The sequence below is a fragment of the Homo sapiens genome, chromosome 7, assembly GCF_000001405.40.
Source record: "Homo sapiens chromosome 7, GRCh38.p14 Primary Assembly".
Classification (NCBI taxonomy): domain Eukaryota; kingdom Metazoa; phylum Chordata; class Mammalia; order Primates; family Hominidae; genus Homo; species Homo sapiens.
In genome coordinates, this window is record NC_000007.14 from 143,700,805 (window position 1) to 143,724,120 (window position 23,316).

The window sequence follows — 23,316 nt, forward strand, 5'->3', positions numbered from 1 at the left end:
GAATTCTACAGGAAATGCAGGGCATGCTCAGAATGCCAACCTTTCCGAGCTTGGAGAGATTTAGTGGAAGAAAGTAGCAGGAAAAACGTCCAGTAATCACTGGCATGCCAGACCCTGGAGAAGCCAGGCTGAGGCGCTCTGCAAGTTTCACCTTAGAGAGAGTGGACGAAATGTAACGGTTCTTGTTAGAGTTCTTGTAGAGGACGATTGTGGATGAGAATACATCCTGGGGACTAAAACCATATTGGTTTAGTCTGGAATGATTGCCAACTAAAGGGACTGATGTTTGAGAGAGATGGTGAGAGATTAACCAAATGAGGTGGTTGACTGCATATAGAAGCAGGAGGGAGAGAGGAAGGAGGCACTTGTGGCTCAAGGGCTTGGTGTGTGTTTTAGTTTAGATTCTGCCCTAAAGCAAAGCCTTATGCAAGGGCTTACCTGCAGGTAATTTTTTGGGGGTAAGTGAGACCAAAAAGCCCAAATGAGGAAGTGGAGAGAATGAGACAAGGAAAAAAGGGAAAGCCAGGAGGAGCATGTGGCTGAGGGTCTTCCACATGGCGCTCCTTTCCTCCGGGTGCCTTCCGAGGACCTCTGATGGGCACCTCGGGAAAGCCACGGGGCACTCTTCTGTGAATCCCCGCTCTACTGGGCGAAGCTCACCCTAGTGTCAACTCACCGCTACTTCAGGGCTGCCTTGTGCACCTGCAGAGGTGAGAAGCCATCAGAGCACAGAGGAAAGTCCCTTACAGTGGGCTCGTCAGAGACGCGCAAAGGGAGGCGGCACAGGCAGCCAGGGGACTACTGCACTACTGCAATCTGCAACGCTGCCCTCGGCAACCCGGGAAACTTAAAAGGACAGCAAAGGGACAGACACTCTCGTTTATTCCGTGCTCACTGTATGTGTACCAACCCCAGACAAGGCATTTTTAGACATATTCTTTGCTTTATTTTATTTTACTTTATTTTATTTTATTTTATTTTATTTTATTTTATTTTATTTTATTTTATTTTATTTTATTTTATTTTTTGAGGCAGAGTCTTGTTCTCTCGCACAGGCTAGAGTCCACTGGTGCGATATCGGCTCACTGCAACCTCCGCCCCCCACCGTCAGGGTTCAAGAAATTCTCATGACTCAGCCTCCCCAAGTGGCTGGGATTACAGGTGCACGCCACCATGCCCAGCTATTTTTTGTAGATTTAGTAGAGACAGGTTTCGCCATGTTGGCCAGGCTGGTCTCAAACTCCTGAGCTCAGGTGATCCACCGGCCTCGGCCTCCTAAAGTGCTGGGATTACAGACATAAGCCACTGCGCCTGGCCTATCCATATTCCTTTAATCTTCAAAAACAATCTTCCCATGGCTGTATTATTCTCTTTTTGTAGATGGGGAAACTGAGACTGAAGTCATTTATCCAAGAGGGGCTGCTTAAAGGGACAAATAGTCTCAGTGTTAGGCACAGCCAATTTTAAAAGACCTCCGGAAACTGCATAATGCTACCAAATAGAGGAGGGTCCTCTCCATTAGGGCAGATTTGATAAATTAGGGGGCACTTTCCAACTTAGCAAAGCTGTCAGAAGAAAGGCATGTTTTGACAGGTCTATGACCTTTCTGTTCAAAAAAATCAAGCACTGTGTCCACTCAGGCACACGAACTTAACTATCACCTTGATTTACTGGCCCTGCAGGATCTAGCCCGTCCCTCCCTCCTCCTGGGGTCCTGCTCCTCCCTGCTCCTGGCTCTCAGCCACCCCAAAGTGGTCTCGTTGCTGGAATGCCCTTTGCTCACTGCATTTCAGGTTTCAGCTTCAATGCCACTTTGTCAGAGTCCTTTCCTATCACCCAATCTAAAGTAGTCTTCCAGTTCCTCCATGTCACATCATTGTGTTTTATTTTCATCATAGTGATTGTTGCATTTTATTTATCTGTTTATCTACCTATTTATTCATTATCTTTCTCCTTCTAAAATATTCAAATCACGAAAAGGGAAACCTTATCTGTTTTGTTTCTTGCTGTACTCCCAGTGCTAGAACAGTGCTTGGCCCACAATGGGGAATCCAGTAAAATTTGGAGGTGAATGCATTTAGTTGTTTGCTTTTTTCACCTGTTCCTTCATCTGTTCTGACCAGCAGTGCTTATCAGTATCTCTTAAATACATGAAAGTCTTTGCTTCCCCCTGCAGCAGCTGATAGAACCATGGCGACCATTGCTGCTGCTGCGTTTGAGGCCCTCATGGATGGAGTGACATGCTGGGATGTCCCCAGAGGCCCCATCCCCAGTGAACTCCTTCTTATTGGAGAAGCCGCCTTCCCCGTGATGGTGAATGACAAGGGCCAGGTGCTCATTGCTGCCTCCTCCTACGGCCGAGGCCGCCTCGTGGTTGTGTCCCATGAGGGCTACCTGTCGCATACTGGCTTGGCTCCATTTCTCCTCAATGCAGTGAGCTGGCTCTGTCCCTGTCCTGGGGCTCCCGTGGGAGTGCATCCATCCCTGGCACCTCTAGTAAACATCCTACAGGATGCTGGGCTTGAGGCACAGGTCAAGCCAGAACCAGGAGAGCCCCTAGGGGTTTACTGTATCAATGCCTACAATGACACCTTGACTGCAACGCTGATCCAGTTTGTGAAACATGGAGGGGGCTTGTTAATCGGGGGCCAGGCCTGGTACTGGGCCAGCCAGCACGGCCCTGACAAGGTGCTCTCCAGGTTCCCTGGGAACAAGGTGACAAGTGTAGCTGGAGTGTACTTCACTGACACCTATGGGGACAGAGACCGGTTCAAGGTCTCTAAGAAGGTGCCCAAGATCCCACTCCATGTCAGGTGAGTGTTTGTTCCCCTCTTAGGGAGTCTGACTCAGGATAAACAATAGAGTTGGTTCCCCTCTTCAACAAGCTTCCATTGCAATACAGGTGATTTTCCACTCAGTTTGGAACCACCACAAATCAAAAGCAGGATGATTAAAATGCACCAAGACACAAGAGAGGCTGGGCCCTCACTGCCACTCCCTCCTGTGGCCAAAGCTGAATAGAAAAGCTTGTCTTACCACTTTATCTCCATGTCTAGTAAATAGAACCTAGAGAGTGCTCATCAGTACCTCTTAAATGCATGAAAGAATATTTGTTTGTTTGCGTGAGCACCGATTGTTGATCATGCTGCATTCTGGACAATGGGGGTCTAGCAGAGATCGAGGCAGGCAAGTCATGCCATCATGAGGTTTGTATTCCAGGGGAGAGATAGGTATTAAGGAAACTAATATATATGTGCTCTATCAGGTATTGCTAAGATCCATGAAAGATGATAATATAAGTGGATAGCATGACAACAGGAAGGCTGATGGAGGCTATTTTATTTAAGACGTTCAGGGAAGTCCTATCAGTCAGACCAAGTTGGATTGGTCAGGATTTGTTGGCGTTGCTAGCAGAAGGGATTTAGTATGGGGAATTGACTATACCCATGATAGAGGAGCTGAAAATACACACAGGGGACAGCAAGTAACCCAGAGATCAGCAACAGCAGAACCAGCAGAGGGAGATGGTGGTATTACTGAAGTCCAGGTGCTGCGGCCACCTGGTAGAAGCTGGAGCCATGCTATGCCTTCCCAGCAGGAGCTGGAACCACAGATGAAAGGTCTGTCTGCTAGAAGCTGGAGTCTCAGAGAAGACACTGTGGTTACCAGAAATACAGCCTGAAGAGAGAAGCAAACACTTAAACTCCTTCCTTCTTCCTTCCTGATTTCAGTCTTCTACCTCTCTCTCCCATGGGCTGAACCCACCAGGATCCAGGGAACAGGAGAACCAAAGAAATGCAGTTTTCTGCAACACGGAGGATGACCAAGATGAAAGGGGAATAGAGATGAGTGCAAACAAGCTCATGGCCGGCTTGGAAGGCTGGTCTGGTAGGTAGCACTTGAAAGGAGACCTCAAGGAAGTGAGGGAATGAGCCATGTGGGCATCTGTGAGAGGAAGATTCCAGGCAGAGTGAGGAGTGAGGGTGAGAAAACCTGGAAGGGAAGCCTGCTTAGTATGTTCCAAGGGAAAGGGAGTGGCCCTTCTATAAGGTCGGAAGGCTCTGCAAAGCTCCAGGGGAGAATAGCTGAAGGCAGCTGTTCTGTGACCCTGAGGCAGAGGGCAAGGAGTAGGTACAAGGGAGTGTAGGAGAATTTGTCTTGATCAAGCCTGTTTGTTTGAAGTTGTCCAGGAGCTGACATTTGAACATCCGCACACATGATGTTCTCTGAATGAGGAACAATAAATGTTAGTCATTTACAGATTGTGTAGGCTCCAGGCTTTCGGCATTATGCCTGCAGTAAATAAAAGCAAGCAGCTTCAGCTTCTCGGGGCTGCTCTCTGGCCACTACAGCCAGGCAGTCACCTAGCTGTTCTTACACTGCATACTTGTGTCTGAGTACTCATTTCATCCATTGGCCAGGGACACACCTGGCAATCAGGGAAGCCAGAATGATGGGAACTCAGTGAATGATAGCTCAGGTCATGTAAGAACTGACAGGCCAGGAGTAGAACTTTAGACCTTATTTGCAGTGAGATGGGAAGACATTTTGTATTCTCTACAGAAGATTGCTATGATGTGACTTAAATTTCAAAAGGAACCCTCTGATTGATGGTGGAGAACAGACTGTGGGAGGCAAAGATTGAAGCAGCAGACCAATCGGGAGGCCACTGAAGTAGACCACAGGAGAGATGGTGGTGGCCCAGACAAGACTGATAGAAGCTGTGGAGCTACTGAGAACAGGTTCCATTCTGGACACACCTCAAAGGGAGAACCCAACAGGCTTGGCTGATGGAGTGAGTAAGGAAAAAGAGGAGTTGAGATTTTTGGTCTGAAAAAGACCAAAAATTAAACACAGGTGCTGCTGTTTAGTGATCTGTGAAAGGACAATGAGAAGATGGATTAGAGGAGATCAGGAGTCTCATTTTGGATGTTTTAGGTTTCAGATATTAGTGACTACTTACTTATGTTTGGCCACATGTAGCAGAAGCCTTAGTATAGCAGATTAACCATGTAGCAGTTTATTTTTTCTATGAAACATGAAGTACAGGTAGGTAGTCCAGCTCTGGGGCAGTGACTCTATGATGTCCCATGGTCAGTCTCTGTCTCCCTGTCACTGCCTGACCCTGTCATGGTGTGTTATTTTATCCTTATGGCTACAAGTTTGCCACTACTACTCCAGGCACCATAATTACACCCATGCAATAATAAATTGGAATGGATACACCTACTTTTAGTTTATAAAACCATGTATTTCCTGGAAGCCCTAGACTTCTATTTATATTTTAACGGCCAGCCTAGTTAAATCAGTAGTCCCTAGCCTTTTGGTACCAGGACCTGTTTTGTAGAAGACAATTTTTCCATGGACCTGGCAGGAGTTTCAAGATAATTCAAGTGCATTACATTTATTATGCGCTTTATTTCTATCATTAGTACATTTTAATATATAATGAAATAATTATACAACCCACCATAATGTAGAATCAGTGGGAGGCCTGACTTCCAGACCTAACTACCAGGAGATCTGAAGGGCTGGCTATTTTTAAATGGGCACTGGCGTCTCTGAAGAAATCAAGATGCTGTACAAAGAAGAAGGGGCATACAGATACTAGTGAGCAGCTGGCAGTGCCCTGAACCCTCAGCCCCAAGCTCTGGACCTCTTTGAATTCCTTCCCTTCTGAGAGATTTGGGGAGGGGATGGGTTTACTCAGAGACATTGGAGTGGATCTGATTCGCTTCAACTTTTTTATTCTAATGCGAAGGGACAAGCAGGTGAAATCTCATCACTATAATGCCTCTTAATTGCCCCAAGGGATTCTCCTCTCTAGCTAACTCAACCTGTTTTTCTTCATCTATATCTACATTTTTAATCCCTGCCACCGATTCTAAGGTATATTTTGTGTGTTTGTTATTTTAATTCTTAATTACTGAAAATATTAAACATATGCAAAAGTAGACAGAATAGTACAATGAACCCCCATGTAGCCATTCCCCAGTCCCCAAAATAGTCAACTCCAGGTCTGTCCTATTTCACCTGTAGCCCCACTCTTCCCCACCCAAGATTATTTTGAAGCAAACAGCAGACATCATGTCTTTTCATCTGTAAGTATTTAAATATATATCTCTAAAGGTATGAAGTCTTTTAAAAACATAACTGCAAGTCATCATTATCACACCTAAAAGAATAATTCCTTAGTGTCATCATTTATTTCCATGATTGTCTTATTTTTCAAAATGTGTTAACATTGGGCCAGGCATGGTGGGTCATGCCTGTAATCCCAGTCCTTTTTGGGAGGCCAAGGCAGGTGGATCACTTGAGGTCAGGAGTTTGAGACCAGACTGGCCAACGTGGCAACACTCTACTAAAAATAAAAAAATTGGCCGGGTGTGGTGGTACGCACCAGCAGTCCTAGCTTTTTGGGAGGCTGAGGTAGGAGAATCACATGAACCCGGGAGGTGGAGGTTGCAGTGAGCCGAGACCACGCCATTGCACACCAACCTGGGCAACAGACTGAGACTCTGTCTCAAAAAAAAAAAAAAAAAAGTGTTAACATTGAAATTTAAATAAAACCCAAATATTTTGATTTCTTGATACAAATTTTATATCTCTTTTAAGATACGCGTTTCCTTTCCAACTTTCTATTTCTTGCAGTTTTGTTGCTGTTGTTGAAGACACCAGCTACTCTTTGTTGAACAGTTTACTTCAGTCTGGACTTTGAAAGTAGACCTCAAGGAAGTCAGGGAATGAGCCATGTGTGCATCTGTGGGAGGAGGATTCCAGGCACAGTGAAGCGCAATGGTGAAAACCTGGAAAGGCAAATTGATTGCCTTCCTGTGGTATCATTTAATATGGGGGTACCAGTCCATGGCCTGTTAGGAACCAGAACACACAGCAGGATGTGAGCAGCGGGTGAGCAAATAAAGCTTCATCTGTATTTACAGCCACTCCCCATCACTTGCGTTACCACCTAAGCTCCGCCTCCTGTTAGATCAGTGGCAGCATTAGAGTCTCATAGGGGCACGAACCCTATTGCAAACTGCTCATGCAAAGGGTCTAGGTAGTGTGCTCCTTATGAGAATCTAATGCCTGATGATCTGTCACTGTCTCCCATCACCTTCAGGTGGGGCTATCTAGTTGCAGGAAAGCAAGCTCAGGGCTCCCACTGATTCTACATTATGGTGGGTTGTATAATTAGTTCATTATATGTTACAATGTACTAATAATAGAAATAAAGTGTGCCATAAATGTAATGCACTTGAATTATCCTGAAACCCCTGCCAGGTCCATGGAAAAATTGTCTTCTATAAACAGGTCCCTGGTACCAAAAGGTTAGGGACCACTGATTTAACATATTCATCTTTTGCTTGTATTTTCTGTATAATACAAATTAAAAGTTAGATCTCGATTTTAGGTCAGGATTGACAAACTGAGGACAGCCCCTGTTTTTGTGAATGAAGTTTTGTTGGAGCACAGCCGTGCCCATTCATTCACAAACTGTGGCTGCTTTCAAGCTACAGTGTCTGCCATTGTTGAATAGTTTCAGCAGAGACCATATGGCCCATATTTGTCTAAAATATTTGTCAGACCTTTTAAGGAAAACTTTCTCAGCTCCTGATCTAGAGGTTTGATCAGATTCATGTTTGAATTTTTGACCTATTTTATAGGTGGTAGTATGCACTTCTACTGGGTAGAGCACAATGGTCTGATTTTCTCTCTTACTGTGAGGTTGGCAGTCCTTAATAACCGTTGCTTAGCCCTAGACCCATTAATTTGTGTTTATAAAATGATGGCTTTAAAATTTTAATATTCCTTTTATTTGTTATTTGGAATAGTTTTATAAAACACACTTTCCTTCACCAATTACATACTCTATGGTATAATTTATATAGAAAAGGCAAAATAAATATTTAATTCTCTCTTTCTCATTTTAAAACCAGTTTCCAATATTGAGTTGTTTCCCTAGCATCTTCCAGAGGTCACCAATGTGTTTAAATTTTTCTTAGAATTATTATGAAATCATGATTGGAAACACAATGTGTTTCATTTATTATCCTTATTGATGTTGAAATTGTCCTGTTTGGCCATTGGGAGCCAATTCAAGATGATTCCTGAATCTTTTCCACCCAACCTTAATGGGCTTCCTGGTTTTTTAATATAACAGGAGGTTTCAATTTCATCTCATGTATTTCCTGCTCAGGCCCAGAACTGCCATTTCTCCAAAAAGCCCTATTTTTTTCTTCCTTCTTTTTTTAACGTACAGCCCATATTTCTGGGAGTCCTAATTTGCATTTAGAAACTCCAGTCCGGGTGTTAGAGTTGTGCATTGTTTGATCTTTGTTTCTAGGCCTTCTAAATAGGCACAGCTAAGAAATAGATATTTTTGGTTTATATTTTGATACTTCGGATCAGATTTGGGGCTACAGGGTTTTAATTTGATTTCAACAATCTTACCTCTGTATCTCCTATCTCTCATGATGAAAAATTCCGGTTCTATAAGACACCAATGTAACGACTCATTTGCTCTATCCCAAGATATACAAACAACAGTTGCAAAATATGAATAATAGCACTACTACCAGCAATATGATGATTATTGTAACAAAGATTACTTGCAGTTCTTTTTGTCCCAATGATATATTTTATTATATACATATATAAAGTCAAAATACTATCTTTAAAGTCACTTCCAATACTTCCGCTCTTTGTGGTTATACCGCTAAACAGATGTACATGTCAATTCATTGGTTATTTTATTTTTTAGTTTTGGAATTGCTTGTGTAATTTAATTTTGTTTAAAATTATGTAAAATAGTAATCTGGGTCCAAAGTAAGATCTTAAGAAACCTATATTCTGTCCCTGTTTCCTTCAAACAATTCCCTTCTTCCTTCTGTGCATTTTTTGTGGTTTAATTCTCCACAAACACACACATATTAGTAGTCTTCTCTTCACTGGATAAGGCAATAACATACTCTATACATTTTTTCCTCCTTACTTTTTTTCACTTAACATTATTTCCTGGATATGGCCTGATAGTAATATATAGAGATACACTGTATACTCTATTATACCATGGTGTATGGATATGATATTGTTTATTCAATAAGTCCCTTATTGACAGGCACTTGAGTTTCCAGTATGTGTTATTTTTCTGGTACTTCTACTGTTACACATGTGCTGCAATGAATACCTTTGTGCACGTATCCTTATATTTCACGCTATCACTGGAAATGGGATTTCTGAGTCATGGGGGAAATTCATATGTAATTTCGCTAGGCACTGCTAAGTCCCCCTTGTTGCAGCTTGGGTTACTGGGAATCTGACTCAGAGATAGAGATACATGTGTGGGAGGTTTGTGAGGGCATGCTCCCAGGATCAGCATCTGTGGAAAGGTGAAGGAAGAAGCACTGGAGACAGGGAGAAGCCGGGCTATGAGGCAAATATTTTTTAGCAATATTTTCACTGTTAAGTGGAACACTGGAAGAAACGTGTCTGTAATAGAAGATTGCTTAAATAAGGTATAGCATATCCTAGAGTGATTGAGTGAGTAATTTTGCAATCATTAAAAATTCTATGTTCAAAGACTTCTTAAAGGAAATGAAAAATATTCATGATAAAATAGACAAAATTAAGATATAAAGCTCTGCATTAAAATGATGCTAAATTCATTAAAACAATATATGTATAGCCAGGAAAATAAAACATTAGAAGAAAATATAATAAAATATTAGTAATGTGTCTCTGGGGCTAAGTTGGTAATTGGTTTCATCTTCAAATATTTTTGTCCTTTCCGAATACTCTATAATTATAAATTGACAAAAAAGACATTTTTAATATTACCTCTTTGCCTTTTCAGAACCCTTAAAAAATAAAAAACCTCTCCCCAGATCACATTAAGATATCTTTCTTTGACCTGATATCATTTATAGTTTTCATTGATTCACCAACAAAAAGGAGAAAGGAACAAATTTTCTTAACATATCAGTTTTTTTCCCTCTTTCTAGTATCTTGTATCCATGTTTTAATTTATCTAAAATATGTGAGTGCCTGTTCTAGACACTATTCTAGGCACTGGAATTCCCACAGCGTTTAAGTCCATATTTTAGGACTAAGAGAAGCGTAGTGAAAGTTCAGCTAATACTGTATAAAAATAAATTCCCACATTGTTAGTTTTGATTAATTAAAACATTTATTGAGAAAACAATGACACTAAAGTATTTGAATATTTGTAATTTCTGTAATGTCCTCAACCAAAATGTTTATGCTTACATATCTTCTATCTTTGCATATCTTTACAAATCAATACATCATTTTTGCTAGCTATGATTACATGCTGCTATTTTGTATTCTCCTTAAAAATATTTTCCCATTTTTATATATGATATTTTTAATGATAATTTTTAATCATAAGTTCTGTAATTTGTTTTAACTATTTCCTCTTTGTTGCATACTCAGATATTTTCTAGTTGAGTATCGGGGGGTTGGCGATAACATATATTATCCATACACATCTTTAAAGTATTTTAGAACTGTCCCTCAATGTAAAGACCACAACATGTAACATTAGATTTCTTGTTTTATAAAATATCAAGATATTTGTTCCTATTCTGGACTTTCTTTCAGCTCTTGAAAATCCAATTTATTCTTCTTAATTAGTTTCAACTCAAACACCCTCCTCAGAGCAGTCTTCCCCAGTGGCCATACTGAAATTTGGACTGTCCATCCAGTTTCACTTCATCACATTTCTCCATTTATTCCTTAAACATTATCACTCTCTATAACTATCTCCGCTGTTTCTTGCTAGGGCCTGTCTAACCAACCAGAATATAGAGCTCCATGATCTTGCCTGTTGCGTTTACTGCTTTATTCTCAGTGCCTGGAGTACTTAACATTAGAGATCAACAAATATTTGTAAACTATATAAATTAATGAAAAAATATGAATGAACACACATCCAAAACCATAACAAGAGAAAAGACAGCCTCATATACTACTGTTAATCCTGCAGACAACTTCCTACTATGGAATATAGGGCTGGGGGTTGCGCCAGAGCCTTCCAGCCTCAGCCAACAATAGAGCCAGAGGGAACCAACTCCTTGAGAGTCTCAGAAGGTCAGAGTCTGAGTCTCTGGCTCAGATTCCTCCCGCCTTCAGAGCAAGTCCCATTAGAGGTTTTCAGTGAACATTCCTGCCACAAATATTGGTCAAAGGCGCTTGGACTGACCCAGCAGGTTCCTTAACTTTAAATCTCGGCTGGAAGGCCCTGGAGCTTCTTAAGAGAATTGATTGCTGGCCTGCCCCAACTCTGCCTGCCAAGGAGTGGGGCAGTCTCTAAACACCAACAAAAGCTCCTCTCACATCCTATCCCCAAGGGCACACCTATGTTTATATAACAGGAGTATACTGCAGTTGCTTTAATATTTAAAAGCAAATCCAAAGGCACTTGCTACCTTTATACCATGACAGAAGAGTCTGGAAGAAAAGTTAACCTCAGATACTAAGCAGCCACCCATTACACTTACACACGGTATAATCTACAAGCTCTAAAATATGTTAGCAGCTGCCCATATAAAAGTAAATATGTAACTTGGCATGCTGATGCACAGGTACTCACATACTCGAGAGGCTGAGGTAGGAGGCTCTCTTGAGGCTGGGAATCCAAGGCTGCAGTGTGCTATAATTGCACCTGCAAATACGCATTGCACTCCAGCCTGAGCAACATAGTGAGAACCTGTCACTATTTGGTAAGTAAAAATTGTAAATATGTACTAGTGGCTTAGGTTTATGACTGTCTTGAGAATTATTTATTTTCTCTGTCCTCAACACAGTCCTGTAGAGTAGGAAAGTCTTTGTCCAAGGAGTTCCAAGTTACAAGCACCACATACCTTTGTGTATGTATCATTATATTTTGCCATATCACTGGAAATGGGATTTCTGAGTCACGGAGGAAATTCATACGTAATTTTGCTAGGCGCTGCTAAATTCCACTTGTTTCAGCTTGGGTTCCTGGGAATCTGACTCAGAGACAGAGATAATTGTGTGGAAGGTTTATGAGGTTTATATTCAAGATCCATGAATGTAGTTTCCAGGTAAAAACTGAAATGAGACTAGATCCCAGAATTGTTCTCTCCACCAAATCTGACAAAATGAATGAAAAATAATTAATAAATGGCTGGATGTGGAAGGTTTTTATGATGATGACATACATTGCTATGCACTGGCCAAGGAGAACAGGTGATTGATGGGTGGCCCAGGATGGAGTATCTCCTAACACCAGTCAACCTTCCATGTACAATGGAAAGAAAATATTCAAAATCACAAATTCAATAGTTATCATTAATGCTTTCTAATACATAGAAAAGTGAACAAATTGGGTGGATAGACAAGAAAAAAAGCTTTCAAGTGTAAACTCCCCATGTGAGTTCCATCTGTGGTTTGGTGGAAGTGGGCCTAGCTTACTAGGTCCCCTAAGACTGGAGAAACCAGGCCTAATCAAAAATCAAAAATCTGAAATTCTCCAAAATTCAAAACTTTTTGAGCACCACCAACATAATGCCAGAAGTGGAAAATCCCACTTTGGGGACACCTTTGCTTTCTGATGGTTCAATGTACACAAACTTTTTTCATGCACAAACTTATTTAAAATATTGTATAAATTACCTTTAGGCTCTGTGTAAAGCTGTATAGGAAACATAAATGAATTTTGTGTTTAGAGTTGGGTCCCAACACCAAGGTATCTCCTTATGTGTATGCAAATATTCCATAACCTGAAAAAAATCAAAATCTGAAACACTATTGGTTGGTCCCAAGCATTTTCCATAAGGGCTGCTCAACCTGTATTATCTCCTTCAATTCTAACAATAATCTTCCAATAATATCAGAAATATAGTTTATTAAGCCAGGAGAAAGAGTAAACATTATGACATTGTTAGGAATGTTTGTGTGTTTAAGCAGGATTTTGGTCTGACATAGAAATATGAATATATCTGTGCTCACAGGTGAGTAGCATCTGTATTCTGACTATTCCAAATGAGTAATTTTTGTACCTGCAATTTGTTACAAAAGTGAGTTTTCCAAATTATTTTCTTAAATCTGACAGGTTAAATAGTTTAAATAAAATTGTGTGTCTAATAGGCATGATTGAGATCTAAAGAGATTTTACCCTGTATTTACCAGCTTAAAATAAAAGAAAAAAAATAGATTTACAATTTCAAGGCACCTCTCTGATTATCAATGCCCATATTGTTCAGTGATGATGGAGACAGTTTTTAAAGTTTTCTTATTTACTATGATTTATCTGTATTTAAGAAATTAAAAATACAAAAAAAAAGATACTCAAGTGTTGGGGGCTGCAGGTCTTCAAAATGTTTTTTACAGCATCTGATCAACATAGTTCTCTCTAGTCCTTTTTTTGATGTTATAGATCCTAAGAAAACATCGTTTCTAGATTCTAGTATTTCTGTCCTGTTTATATTTATCAGAGAGTGAAATAAATCCAGAAGAGTATTTTTACATTCTATACAATCTCAACAGAAAAACAAAACAAGCTAAGTGAAGATGTATTTGATTACTACCAGTAGACTTCATTACTTTTATTTTCAAGAAAAAATATATAAATTGTTAGATGTTTTACCTTCAATATGGTGAAAATGACAGCAGCGCACTTCACACTTACCTTTTTATTTAGTGCTGTACCTTCCTAATTTGGCAGTTTTTTAATTGGCATTCAGAAACCTATCGCCCATGTTACCTGTCTGCTCAGATGTGGTTTGCGAACATTTCCTAACCATACCATCCCATCCCTTTCCTTTAGTCCTCAGTGGCTTCCCCTGCACTTCCAGCTCTGAAGTAACACATGCTTTTCCTTTCTTAAACACAGTATTGTTCGCACCTTTGCATCCTGTAAAGCTTCCTTTGCACAAGATATACCTGTCGAAAACCATGTACCCAGATGTAGGTTCCGTCAAAGACTCAGTAATTGAGTGAGAGAGTTCTGGTGTGTAGACAACGGTGGCTTTGGAAGCAAGCCAGCCTGGGTTTAGTAAAAATTAAAGAAATAGGAAAGAAATACAAAAGGTGGCTTGACAGTCACAGACAGGTTTAATTTAGAGAAAATAAACATGGGAGGGGCATCTGGCCGAGTTAGGTCAGAGGCATACTCCCTTACAGACTAAGAGTTTTTAAGGATTCAAGGTGGGAGAGTTTATCAGAGGCCTCGACTGCTTCTGTGTCTCTTTGTTGTGCTTATCTGAGAGGGAGAGTTGTATCTCTGTTCCCATATATCTTTCTGCAGCTGCAGGCATACCCCACTTTTAGCTTCCTATCTTTTAACTTCCCTAACTTAGTGCACCCAAAGGGAAAGGAATGTTCTTATTAAGGCCCACTGTTTAACTGGGGCCCATTGTATGAGGATGAAGTTTGGCAGTTACCCAAGAGACTTTGCTCCCTCCTCCCTCTGTGCCCGAGCTGTCTCATCTGTGTTTTACCGTTCTGCTCTTTCCGGCTGCTTGTAGTTAGAAGAGAAGTGATTTCCTGGAAATGCATGGGGCTAGAAAGGGAGCTGAAACATAAATTAGCGGTGTTTATCCAAGATGACGATGCTCCTGCTTTGTCAGGTTTGCTTCCTGTCCCTGCCAGTTATTAGCTAGGAAACGTGGGGAAAATTGCTTAGCTTTTCCAAACTCCATCTTTAAAGTGAGAATAGTAACTTTCAGGTTTATTATAATGATTGAAAGAGATAATACATATGTTAAATACCTAACATATATTAAACCTTATTAAATAGCAGCTACTTTCATTGTTTTCCACACTTAAACATTGTAAACAGATATTATACAAGATTTAAATATTGGTAACTAGCTGTCTGAGATCATTAATATTGCCCTTAGGATATTGTCAAATCAGCTGTTGAAATTTACCTGATATACTAACTGCTATGCTTACTCACTTTTCCCTCCCTCCCTCCCTGCTTCCCCCTCCCTTCCCCCTCCCTCCCTCTGTCATCCCCTTCCTTCCTTCTTTCCTCCTTTCCTTTCTTTCTTTAGTTTTCTTTTAAGAAATGCCTTTTTATGAAAATATTTCAAAAGGAATTCAAGTTTATTTTGAAAAAATGCACACCAATACAGAAATATAGAGAGGAAAATGGCAACTCATCCTCCTCACCACACCACCAGCTCCAGTCTCATGCCTCTGGACCAAGGTAGCCAATCCTAAAAGTTTGACATGGATCATCTCAGATGCTTATCTATGTGTGTGTGTGTGCTCTGCACATTGATTTTTTAGTTAATGTATCATGTTGGAGAATGTCTGCCTTTTTACTTCATATTTTTGCAACAAGTTAGCAGAACACAACCTTCTAGGGTCTCAATGTCTTGTCTTCAGGATGCAGGACAATTGTCTTCTGGCTGTAAGTAAGCTTGTAAGTCATTCTGATCAAATCATCTCCATCCTTTTTTTTTTTCCAATGGATGCTGTGAATACATTACCATCTCCAAATGTAATGTCAATTCATATTTTTATTTTCTTTGTAGCAGTTCTTGCTTTCAGTATTGTGTTTTTGCAGGGCATAAAAATTAATAAAAATTTTATTTTTGTTAGAGTGTAACTTTAATCCATAGAAAATGTTCATTTTTAATTTTTCCTCTTTGAAATCACTTGCATCCCTTATTAATGCTGATATGTCTGCTTTTGTGTTTTTGTATTTTTTAAAATAAAACTTTGTTGATTTTGTCATTTTCAATGCTTTTATGTTTAGTTTCAGGTGTGTCTTTTATAAGCAGCTTATATCCAGATGTTTTTAACCCAATCTGACAGCTTCTGTGAGATGGAAATTCAATGCATTCATATATACTGTGATGATTCAAATGTATTTCTTGCTCTTACCCCCTTTTAATTTTATTTTCTATTTTTATGCTTTATTTCTTTTTACATTTTTCCTTGGTTGCTACTAAGCTTTATCCATTTCTTAAATTTCCTCAACACATTTGTAGATTATACATTTTACTTCTATTTTTGGAGCAGTTATCTTAAATTTTAAATTTAATGTTTGATTACCTGAGAAATATAATTGTACATTCTCCTTATTTGAAGAAACAAATTATTGAGGCAAAAGCCCTTTTCATCATCTCCTTCAATGTCAGTCCTTTCTCTCTATCTCACAATCCAAAAGAAAACACTCTTATCAGTTTATTGTGGTTGTTCCCTGACATTTTGGACATATATTGACGTATGTTTACTTTGCTTTATATTGTGTCTTCCATAAGTTGCATCACCAAGTTCTGCTATTTTTGAAATTGTTTTACTCAACAAATATATTTTGAACATCTTTCCTTGTTAATTAACATAGGTGGACCTATTCTTATTGACTGATAAATAGTAATCCATCATATGATTAAATGCCAATTTTTATTTGCATTCATATTAGTAAACATTTAACTTCTTCATATTTTTTCACTATTACCAACAATTTGCAATGAACTTCCTAGTACTGCCTCCATTTATACTACTATAGGCTGTTTCTCTTTTTAATGTTATTGGATACTGCCAAAATGATCTCCAGTTTTTATGAAAGATTAGTTTTCTCCACACTCTTGCCAACACTTAATATTGTCAGCTTTTGAAACATTTACTAATTTTCTGGGTAAAATATGTTATTATATATAATTTGCATTTGTGTGATTATATCTTTTCAAATGCTGAATATCTCACTTGGATTTCATCTTTCATGAACTGTTTGAGAATATACTTTAAAAATATTTTCTGTTTTTTGCTTTTCTGTTTATCCTTAGAAATTACTCATATATTCTGAATTCTAATTTTGTATCTGTTCAGTCTGTTACAAATATTTGTCTCTCAGTGACCTCACCTTCTTTAACTTTATTTATGCTGCCTTTATGCTAAGAAGTTGTTGGTTTTTTTCTTTAATTCTATGTGGTTCTTGCAGCTTTTGTCAACCATTCTAGTCACTTCCTAGATTCCCAATGCTACTGTAGTTTGTGTGTGTGGGCATGTGGATGAATATATGCAGTCATTTTAATTAGCTGTGGAGAGGATATCTGCAAGTAACTGCAGCTTTCCATATTGAAGTTTTACTACCATTAGCTGAGGCTTTGCCAGGTGCCTGTGAGAAGATGCTAAGAACACTTCGAGTGGAATTTTTCATTATTAAGTCTTGTAGCTCAATGTCATTAACTCCCCAAAATATCTTGAGTTCCAACAGGTAACAAAAAGCCACAGGCAGAACTGATACCTGAACTCTATGACATTTGCCATGTGAGTCTGAAAATGGGATGACAAAACTAAGACATGCCATCTCCTCATTTTCATGCTGAAAAGAAATTAAAGAGAATCTGCACAAGAGTTACATTTTTCAATAATGTGTTACTACTGGAATAAATAAACTATACTTTTTAAAAAATATAACATTTAATTTTTAATTATAAGAGAAATAGATGTTAATTTTAAAATTTGAGAGAATAAAGTTTTATAAAGATAATTAAAATGACCTAAAATCCCACCAGCCAAGACGACCACTGAAGACATTTTTTTTAAACAAAGATATTTTGATAAATATGCTTTAGGTTCTGCTTCTATGTCTGGTTTCTTGGTTTTTTATTTTTTTTACCCCAAAATTTGGCTTATTTAGAGCATGGTATCCTGGAATCTAATTTTAAAACTTTTTCCATTAAGCATTTTTCAAATTACCTAATATTTATTTTAATCACTATATGGTTTGCAATCTATTGTTAACCATAATTTATTTAACCAACCTCCTATTGCTTGACATTTACAGTATATACAAATTGTTTTAAAAAAATTCTTGAAATACAAAGCCTTTTCTTGATTCATTACATTTTGACCATTCCTTAAGAAGAAGAAGTGAATACTCTAACCAGATCTAAGTGAAGTTTTAAAAACAGTGTGTGTTTGTATAAATCTTCAAGCGTAGTGTTAAACAATTTAATTGTGATGTGTTCCTAGATCAGAACTACCCTACGGAGAGTCCAGATTTGGTGTTTTTACAGCCTTCCTTTGCAGAAAGTTAGATCGAGAAATTCATAAGCAGTACCACATTCTCTGGGCATAATAAACTAGTTTTTCTAACTTGTTTATATGTTTAATTATTTTAAAAGTCAAGAAACTGAAGCCAAAATATTCAACACATAGTTGACTAAATGGGAGGAATTCCTGGAGGTGTTCATTTAGAAAATGTGGATTTTAAGATATGCAAGTAAGGGCACTACCTCTATAGCGTTTCCTCAAATCTATGACAAATTGATTGTGAGAAATGCCATTATTTTATGTATCACTAAGAAAGACCAGGCCGGGCATGGTGGCTTACACCTGTAGTCCCAGCACTTTGGGAGGCTGAGGCTGGCGGATCAAAAGGTCAAGAGATCCAGACCATCCTGGCCAGCATGGTGAAACCCCGTCTCTACTAAAAATACAAAAATTAGCTGGGTGTGGTGGCACGCACCTGTAGTCCCAGCTTCTCGGGAGGCTGAGGCAGTAGAATTGCTTGAACCCGGTAGGTGGAGGTTGCAGTGAGCCGAGATTGTGCCACTGCACTCTAGCCTGGCGACAGAGCGAAACTCCATCTCAAATAAAAAAAGAAAGAAAGAAAGAAAAGAAAGAAAGAAAGACTAAACGTTGCCAATTAAATGATAATATGCCATCAGTTGTAAAAACAGTGAAAAAATATGCCTTAAACATGATAAAAATAAATGATATTAGCATGCTAAAATCCTAACATTAGTAAGAATGTGAAGATTGACATGAACCGTGCAATCTTCTTACCTGCACATAGATTTCTCTACTCAATGAGTTCGATTCAGTGGCTCATTAACTGACTGTAGCCTCATTGTTTCTCCTGTCTCTTCCAGGTATGGGGAGGATGTCAGGCAGGACCAGCAGCAGCTCCTGGAGGGGATCTCAGAGCTGGACATCAGGACAGGGGGAGTCCCCTCACAGCTGCTTGTACATGGAGCCCTGGCCTTCCCTCTGGGGCTGGATGCCTCACTCAACTGCTTCCTGGCGGCTGCTCACTATGGCCGGGGCCGGGTGGTCCTGGCTGCCCACGAGTGCCTGCTCTGTGCTCCCAAGATGGGGCCCTTCTTGCTCAATGCGGTGCGCTGGCTGGCCAGAGGCCAGACAGGCAAAGTTGGGGTGAACACAAATCTAAAAGATCTGTGTCCTCTCCTATCGGAGCATGGCCTGCAATGCAGCCTGGAGCCCCATCTGAACAGCGACTTGTGTGTCTACTGCTGCAAGGCGTACAGTGACAAGGAGGCTAAGCAGCTGCAGGAGTTTGTGGCTGAGGGTGGGGGGCTGCTGATTGGGGGCCAGGCCTGGTGGTGGGCCTCCCAGAACCCTGGCCACTGCCCCTTGGCTGGCTTCCCTGGTAACATCATCCTCAACTGCTTTGGCCTCAGCATCCTGCCTCAGACTCTCAAAGCAGGCTGCTTCCCCGTTCCCACCCCTGAGATGAGAAGCTACCACTTCCGCAAGGCGCTCTCTCAATTCCAGGCTATACTGAACCACGAGAATGGGAACTTGGAAAAGAGCTGTCTGGCAAAGTTGAGAGTTGATGGTGCAGCCTTCCTACAGATTCCTGCGGAGGGGGTCCCTGCTTACATATCCCTGCACAGGCTCCTGAGGAAGATGCTACGAGGGTCTGGCCTCCCAGCTGTGAGCCGGGAAAATCCAGTTGCCAGTGACTCCTATGAGGCTGCGGTGCTCTCCCTGGCCACTGGGCTGGCTCACTCTGGAACTGACTGCTCCCAGCTGGCCCAGGGGCTTGGCACCTGGACCTGCTCCTCCAGTTTGTACCCCTCAAAACACCCCATCACCGTGGAGATCAATGGAATCAACCCAGGTATGAAAACAGGAGAGAGTGCCCAGAACATTAAAGATGTAGGGGAAAGTGGGATTGGCTGACACTACACAGGACATTGCAGGTACTTACCCTCAGGAAGATTGACCCCATTCTTTTTTTTTTTGAGACAGAGTCTCACTCTGTCATCCAGGTTGGAATGCAGTGGCGCGATCTCAGCTCATGCAACCTCCACCTCCTGGGTTTAAGCAATTCTTCTCTCTCAGCCTCCTGTGTTGCTGGGACTACAGGCACACGCCACCATGCCTGGCTAATTTTTGTATTTTTAGTAGAGAGGGAGTTTCACCGTAAAGGTAAGGCTGGTCCGGAACTCCTGACCTCAGGTGATCCACCTGCCTCGGCCTCCCAAAGTGCTGGGATTACAGTCGTGAGCCACTGGGCCCAGCTGACTCCATTCTTCATCAGGTACTTTCAAGAAGATGGGGATTGGGACACTGCTTAAGGTTTAGAGGGGATGAGCCTAAGAAGTATGGATGACTTGAGATACACAGGGGAGAAGCTGTACCACTGGGAGGGGCTGGGAGGCCCCAAGTGGAGATATACTCACATAGGAAGGAAGAACTGAGCCTTCTCTGTGACTTTTGTCAGGCAACAATGATTGCTGGGTGAGTACCGGGCTCTACCTCCTGGAAGGACAAAATGCAGAAGTCTCACTGTCTGAAGCTGCTGCCTCTGCTGGCCTGAGGGTAAGGTCTGAACACCCACATCTGCCACCTCTCAAAACCGTAGAGCTGTGTCATTCTCATCCACTGTCTAGTTCCAGCTCATGGCAATGCTGCCAGGAGTACAGAGATGGATTATTCTGCCCATTTTACAGATTTTACAGATGAAGCAGCTAAATTTCAGGGCATCTAAGTGAGTGACTGAAGTGCCTAGTGTTATCAAGCAAGAGAAGCTCACTGCAGAATGGACTAGAAGCCAAAACTATGACACTTGAGTTTTTCACCAAAAAAAAAAAACAAAAACAAAAACAAAAGAAAACATTTTATTGCAATTTGATTAACAAGGAGACAGGAGCCCAGCTCAAATCTGTCCCATTGTACTTATTTTAAAGAGTTATTTTAGTAGAAAAGGTGTAGGGAGTGGATTCTGTGATTAGTAGGTGATTGACAGAAAGAAAAGGAAGGGCTGGAAAATCCTCGGGCATGGGCAGTTACCTCTTCATGCCTCCTCATGGGTCCCATGTGCAAACTCAGAGGGAGTTAGTATGAAACATGCGGTACAAATTTAGGCTGTGTGTCAGCAAGCTCATTCTGCACAAACTCTGGTTTTATCTCTTTATCTTGACACCTGAAGGGTGTGCATAATCCCATCACTCCCCAAAATATGCCCTACATGCAGAATTTAAATTCATCCTGCCTCCTTGACTCTGAGGGCCACTTCCTACCACAGCTAGGGTCCCTTTTCTGTCAGCATTCTTTCTGGAGCTTGCTTATATCAAACCTAAGAAAAGCAACTCCAGGACTCCAGACAAAACAGATCTCCACCCATCTGGCGGCCAGAAAGGGAAGCTCTGGGCAAAGAGGGAGAGAGAATCAACCTCACTCACTCTGGATGGGCCTCCTGTGTGTTCACAGAGGACAGAGCAGAGTCCCCCAGCTCATCCTCAATATCAGCGTCCCCAGACTGGCTTAGGTCCTGCTAGAAGAACCCAGGATTTTGCCTGGCAGAAAGACACAAGACCTTTGCCAGGATCAGCCTGGTCTCTCACCAATTCATGTCAGGTGAAGACTTATAGTGGAGCTGTTTAAATCCTTAGAAAAATGATTTTAAATGCCTTGAAGTCCAAATGACTTTGGAGTGCTAAAATTTCATAAGTTTCCATGCCTAGCACATAGAAAAGGGAAGCTGGGGTTTCATGGGCATGTTTGTCTAATACCTTCCATCTACACAACCTCACACGCACATCACAAAGCATCACAAAGACTCTAATTTCTCCAACGCTTGGTGGAATCACCTGTCCAGGTACAGATAGGCTGCCACACCGATGACCTTACCAAGGCCAGGAAGCTATCTCGAGCCCCCGTGGTGACTCACCAATGCTGGATGGACAGGACTGAGCGGTCAGTCTCCTGCCTCTGGGGCGGCCTCCTCTACGTCATCGTGCCCAAGGGCAGCCAACTAGGCCCTGTGCCTGTCACTATCAGGGGAGCTGTGCCTGCCCCATACTACAAGCTGGGTAAGTGGAGTGAACATTTAGGGAGGAGGAAGAGTGGCAGATGCCGTGGGAACTGTGGGGTGGTTGCTAAATGGGAGAGGGATGAGCTTTGGTGGAGAGAAAGAGGAAGAACTGTTGGGAGGGAACATGGAGGCAGAAGATACGGAATACCCTGTGTCCATGGAGACTTCAGGGCAGACAAAGAGAAGAGTCAGGAAGCCTTTTCTTCACTTTACAGCCTATAGACGCCTGTGATAGTAGTTCATTATTGCAATGTTCTTCCAGAGTTCAAATGGTATTTTTCAGCTCAAGGGAAGTTGGAGAAGTGGGTGTGGTAGGTTCCATGATATTTATTCCCAGGTAAGACATCGCTGGAGGAGTGGAAGAGGCAGATGCAGGAGAACCTGGCTCCCTGGGGAGAGCTGGCCACGGACAACATCATCCTGACAGTGCCAACCACAAACCTTCAGGCCCTGAAGGACCCCGAGCCTGTGCTCCGCCTCTGGGATGAGATGATGCAGGCTGTGGCCAGGCTGGCGGCTGAGCCCTTCCCTTTCCGCCGTCCTGAGAGGATTGTGGCTGATGTGCAGATCTCAGCTGGTGGGTGCTCCCAGGGAATCCTCCTAGTCAGTGGAAACCATGTATCTATTACTTTGCCTTTTATGAATGTCCAAAATGTGTAAGCATAATTTTATTAGTAAAGCAAGGGAAAAAGATATAAAAGACATTGACCATGATGGGGATGAAAGAATGTTTACATGTGAAAAACAAATTATTGACATCTACAAGGTGAGATTTCACTGGATGGTAAAACAATCTCAGAAAACGTTGTATTGGGAATTCATAGATGGCAACCAGAGTCATTTCAAGGACAACATAGAAAATCAACTATTTTCTTCAAACATAAGCCAGAGTTGAAAATGAAAAGAGGAAATACGTAAGGAGGTTTATGGTAAGTACTGAGTGGTTAAAAAGAAAGAGGTACATAGGAAGAGAAATAAGGAACTCTGGATCCCAAATGGGGAAAGTTCTTTGGACCTCAATTTTCATACCTTCAAATAAGGACAAAAATTATCTCTGTCATAGAGTGTAAATTTGGACAAAAGTAGTATACATGGGGAAGAAAGAATGACACTGTTCTAGCCCTCAAGGATCTCAGATCCAGTCAGAGGACATCATATCTCAGACTGACATGTAAAGGACACTCACACACACAAAATGAAGGTGTCGAATTACAGCAAGAATGACTATGTAAAGTATAACCAAATTC

The 23,316-nt window shown here is 41.1% G+C and overlaps 1 protein-coding gene across 12 annotated transcripts in view; it reads left to right on the top strand.

The window, feature by feature from the left end:
- TCAF2 (TRPM8 channel associated factor 2) overlaps positions 1-23,316 on the top strand; it is a 109,437-nt gene that overhangs the window by 79,831 nt on the left and 6,290 nt on the right. For 4 of the 12 annotated variants that reach the window (NM_001438663.2, NM_001438662.2, NM_001365429.2 and 1 more), the window contains 5 exons: positions 2,177-2,813; positions 18,879-19,870; positions 20,477-20,574; positions 21,854-22,067; positions 22,407-22,646. In NM_001438663.2, coding sequence (NP_001425592.2) covers positions 2,191-2,813; positions 18,879-19,870; positions 20,477-20,574; positions 21,854-22,067; positions 22,407-22,646 — 2,167 coding nt within the window. In that variant the 5' untranslated portion in view covers positions 2,177-2,190. Of the gene's footprint in view, positions 1-2,176; positions 2,814-6,545; positions 6,910-15,041; positions 15,197-18,878; positions 19,871-20,001; positions 20,294-20,476; positions 20,586-21,853; positions 22,068-22,406; positions 22,647-23,316 lie in introns of those variants that run through there. The other 8 variants (NM_001438664.1, NM_001365428.1, NM_001130026.3 and 5 more) reach the window with 7 other exon arrangements.